Source organism: Homo sapiens, chromosome 18, assembly GCF_000001405.40.
Source record: "Homo sapiens chromosome 18, GRCh38.p14 Primary Assembly".
In the NCBI taxonomy this organism is placed as follows: domain Eukaryota; kingdom Metazoa; phylum Chordata; class Mammalia; order Primates; family Hominidae; genus Homo; species Homo sapiens.
The window spans coordinates 36,892,206-36,897,204 of NC_000018.10; the positions used below are offsets into that span (position 1 = coordinate 36,892,206).

Here is a 4,999-nt window from a genome sequence, read left to right on the forward strand (position 1 = left end):
AGGTAGAAAAAATTTTCACAAAAAAAGAATGTAAGTTTCAAGAGAAAAGGTCTCTCCTTTTTAATGTATCTTTCTGGCCCTTTAGAAGAGAAGGCAGATGTTCTAGTCTTTGAAATAGTTTTGGGAAAGTAAAAAACCTAAAGTTCTTAAAATGAAGAAGACTGTAAATAGAAGAGAAGGGATATGGAAGAAGAAAGGGTATTTTGGTGTTTGGCAGTGTGGTGTACTAATATAAACACCTTATCAACTTTGATGAATCTTGGCCTTTTTGTTTTGAATAAGTATTGGGTTTTTGTTTTTTTTGTTTACAAATTGAATTATTTAGTGAAAGAATATATTATGTACTTGGATAGGGCCACTTCGTTCCATTTAACAAGCCCTAGAAAATGCTGTTTTACTGATCTGATAATCATCACGAATACTACAGAAGTTGTATTTCTTGAGGCCATTTTATTTACTCTATGTTGCTGTACAAATTTAGCAGATTTTGGAGCATTGTTATTATAAATTGTCCTGGAATGACATTTTATATCAGACTAACAGTTTGAATGATTCTTTCCATTTGTATTACAGAGAGATAGGCATGCTTAAAGAAAGAACTGATTGTTACTTATTTTATTGTTGTCTAAACTATTCTTAAAGATTATTTTTGTTCTCTTAAAAATATTTAGTTATTAATGCTAACCACAGGGAGAAATTGTGACAAAAGTTTTTAGAAAGTAAAGAAATTATATGCTCACTATTGGGTGACTATTACTTACCTAGGTGACCGTACCCCAAACTTCAGCATCATGAATATACCCATGTAACAAACCTGCACATGTACCCCTGAATCTAAAAAAAAGTCAAAATTATTTTTTGAAATTATATAAATGTAACCATATACTAAAATTCATCCCAATAAGAGTCTCTAGGGGTTAAGTTACTCTTTAATAATGAGTTATATTTACACTTTACTTTTTTGGAATTCATCCAGGAATTAAGAATAAAATGAGGCACTCCTCACCCACTCCAGTCCCGTATGTATGAACTTACTTTCTCTCTCTTTTTCTCTCTCTCTTTCTTTCTTATTTATTTATTTATTTGAGATAGAATCTTGCTGTGTCGCCTAGGCTGGAGTGGCATAATCAGGACTCACTGCGGCCTGGATCTCCTGGGCTTAAGTAGTCCTCCCATCTCAGCCACCGTAGTCACTGGAACCACAGGTGTGCTCCACCCCACCTGGCTATTTGTGTGTGTGTGTGTGTGTGTGTGTGTTTTTGTGTGTGTGTGTGTGTGTGTGTGTGTGTGTGTGTATGTGAGACAAGGGTCTCATTATGTTGCCTAGGCTGGGTTCAAACCTCTGGGCTCAAGTGATCCTCCCGTCTTGGCCTCCCAAAGTGCTAAGATTACAGACATGAGCCGCCACACCCAATAGAACTTTTCTTATATGAGAGTTTCTAAAGCTGTCATATGGATAATAATAAACTTACTATTTGGTGTCTAGTTTTAAAGCTCATTGCAGATTAAAAGCAGAAAATTAGAAGTAGAGAATAGAGCTGCTATGAGACTATAGAAGTTGACAGAGGAGTTGATAGAAAAACTATTAAAAAACACAGAAGAACTAAAAATACACAGCAGCCTAGAACTCTGCCCACTTAGATATATCTCAAGGACGTCATATATTAAATACAACATGGTATTCGGAGGCAAGACAGTGTTAAATTGTTTTTATCCTATTAGAAGTATTAGTGCTTTTATTACTAAGACATCTTGCATTTTTATATTGCTTTTCTATTTACAGAGCACTTTCACTTACGCATTTTTAATCTTCATAATAGCCTGGTTAACTTAGGTGAGGCAGATACTCTTCTATCATTTTACAGGTCTGGAAAGGTAATGAAACAGCCCATTGCAGAGCTAAGACTGAAATTTCTTGACACCAAGTGTTCTGCTTTTTTCACTATACCAAATTTTCTCTGTAGCAGTGAACGATACAAATATCAATAAGCCTTACTTTTTAAAGCACAATTTTATAAAAATGTGTAATATATTTTATGGTGCTTTTTATCCAAAGATGGTTAAAAAATTTTTTGGTATTCAAAAGCATATACCTTAAGTTACCAGAAAATCCAGATATGTAGAATGTTTAAGCAATTTTCTTATATTTTGACATCTCCATTCAGTCACCAGGTCTTACTCATTTTCCCTTGAAACCTTATTCCTTGCTATTTTCACTGCTACCTGACTTCATTCCTTGTGTGCCTGCCTCCATTGTTTCCAACTGTCGTTTGAAAGAGTTCATTCCATTACAGTTGCCAGATTAATTTTTCTTAAGGACTACTTTTCTTTTTTTTTTGAGACAGGGTCTTACCAGGTCATCTAGTTGGAGCACAGTGGTGCAGTCATGGCTCACTGCAGCCTTTAACTCCCAGGCCCAAGCAGTCCTCCCACCTCAGCCCTCTCAAGTAGCTAGGACCAGAGGCATGCATCACCACACCTGGCTAATTTTTGTATTTTTGTAGAGACGGGGTCTCCCTATGTTGCTCAGGCTGGTCCCGAACTTCTGGGCTCAAGCGATCCTCTCACCTAGGTGTCCTAAAGTACTGGGATTACAAACGTGAGCCACTGTGTCTGGCTTTAAGTTCTGTTTTTATTACATCACTTGGCTTTTTCATACCATTCCACAGCTTCTTATGGCCTAAAGGACCAAATGCATATTCTTGATTTTGACATTCAAGCCCTCCATTACTAGTGTCAAGTAACATGTGTGACCTTCATTTTTATGGCCCCCACATACCAGCTAAGAAAGACTTATTGGGTTTTCCTACTTATTACATCTAATTTCTGTTTCTTTGTCATTGCTTGTTTTACTAATTTCCTTCTTCAAAAATTTTTAAAGTCATCTTCCCCAGTACATTTTTAAAAATAGTATTTGGCTCCTAGCATTCATACCTGTACCAGCTGCCCTAACTTGCGTATCTTCTTATGGTTCTTTGGGCACTGTTGTGTACTTGAAACAGTCCTGGATTTTTAGTAAGAAAACTTATAAGAGATCTTGGATCAGCTACTTTATACTTTTGTGACTTTGGTAAGTCATTGAATGCAGGAGCATTTCAATGACATTTTAGAAGAATAAGCTGCTTTGCAAAGGCTTTAGGCTAGAGTAGGGGTGAGAAAGTGAAGGCCACGAGGAAAAGGAGATACTGTTGTGCCAAAGGGCGTCTATGTGAAGGGATGTTTTGGGATTTGTTTTAAGGCTGGAAGAGATTTTAAAGATCTGCTTCATATCTTCTAGCACCTTTTCTGATTTTCAGCTTTTCTTCTGTAAGAATGAGACAAATATTTTTTAAAAATTCTAATAAGTTTATCTAACTGCTAAACATGTATTTTTTGGAGTAGTGTGAGAAGAGATGGTGCTTTTCAGCCCCTTTGCCTGCTATTCTGGGCTTAGCAAGGTTCGTTTGCTTATGTATTTATTTGTTACTTAAGAATTTGCGATGGACTGAATTGTGTCCCTTCAAAATTCATATGTTGAAGCTCTAACCCCCAGTGAGAATGTAGCTGAAGATAGGGTTTTTAGGAGGCAATTAAGGTTAAATGAGGTCATACTGGTAGAGCCCTAATCCAATGACTGTTGTCCTAGAAGAAGAGCAGAGAGATCTCTCTGTCACACACCACACCCCCACGTTGTCCTGTGTGAGGCCACAGCAAGAAGGTAGAAGCCTGAAAGCCAAGAGAGCCCTCACCAGAAACCAAACCCGATCAGACCTTATTTTGGACTTCCAGCCTCCAGAACTGTGAGAAAATAAATATCTGTTGTTTAAGCCTCCCAGTCTGTGGTATTTTGTTATGGCAGTCTGAGCAGACTAAGGCAGTACTTAATATGTACTTAGTTCTTTGGTAATTTTTATTCTAATTATCAGCTTAGAAGGCTTTTCAGTGTATTTGTGGAGGGTAGTGTTTCTAATATTAGTGTATTTTCAGATATCGTTCTCTGATCATTTTAGCTTTATTTTCTTGGTTGGGTGTTAATACATTTTTGAACAATAATTTTTAAATATCATTTTGTATTATTTTTTGATGAGATTTGATTTTTGGCAATCTTGTTGCCTTACTAGCTAAGACCCTTTTAATATATATGATGTACTCATTTTATAATTAAAAAAATAGCTTAACTTTCCAAGCTTGATTTTGCTTTGGTTTTGATGTCTTCGATTTACTGAAGGCTCCAGACGTGGAACCTTAACATCCTCAGAGAGCAACTTCTATGTTGCTTTATAGTGAGTGACACTGCAGTTCAAATAAATGTGGATTGGGGCTTCTCACCTGGCTCTAGTGGCTAAGGATTTCATTTCTTTTTGATACCCACATGTAAATAAGCTCAGCAAACTGAAATTCAAAAAACATTTATTTGCTGCATCTTTGTTTAATTATCTTTTTTTCAGTGATGGTTCTGTTCTGGATAAATGGTACTAAACCTGTATAGCATCATTTAAAATTACTTTGGAAAGTTTCAACAGTTCTTGTATGAAGAAATAGACTTTAAATAAATCAATCTCATAATTATCATTCAGGGTATTATTTAGGATTATTGTTTAGCCTTTTACATTACTGATTTTCCTTAAAGGGCTATCTGATGTACTCTTTTCAGCTACATCTGTTTGCCATACCACAGCTTGTAATTGCTTTACATTTGAAGAATATAGTGAGTGACTTTATTATTAATCAGTAGCAAATTTGTCTTAGTATTCTTAACCTTAGGATGGCCTTAACTTATGAATAAATGATTTAGATGGTAATACTCTCACTTAAGTTAGAGACTTATGCAGTAACATTAAAAAAAATTGTACTCAAGATTTTGCATTTCAAAACTAATTTTTCAGAAGTAGTGAATATAATTATGCTCATGAAATAATTAGAAGTCAACAGAATATCTGAATTGTATCTTCCTATGGAAGATGGTAAGGATTATCATCTTCCCCCAGTTTTATTATCTTTTCTTAATACAGAATCCCAG

General features: G+C 35.5%; 1 protein-coding gene across 18 annotated transcripts in view; it reads left to right on the plus strand.

Moving 5' to 3' along the window:
• Nucleotides 1-4,999, plus strand: part of KIAA1328 — a 403,046-nt gene that overhangs the window by 63,079 nt on the left and 334,968 nt on the right. The window lies entirely within an intron of this gene.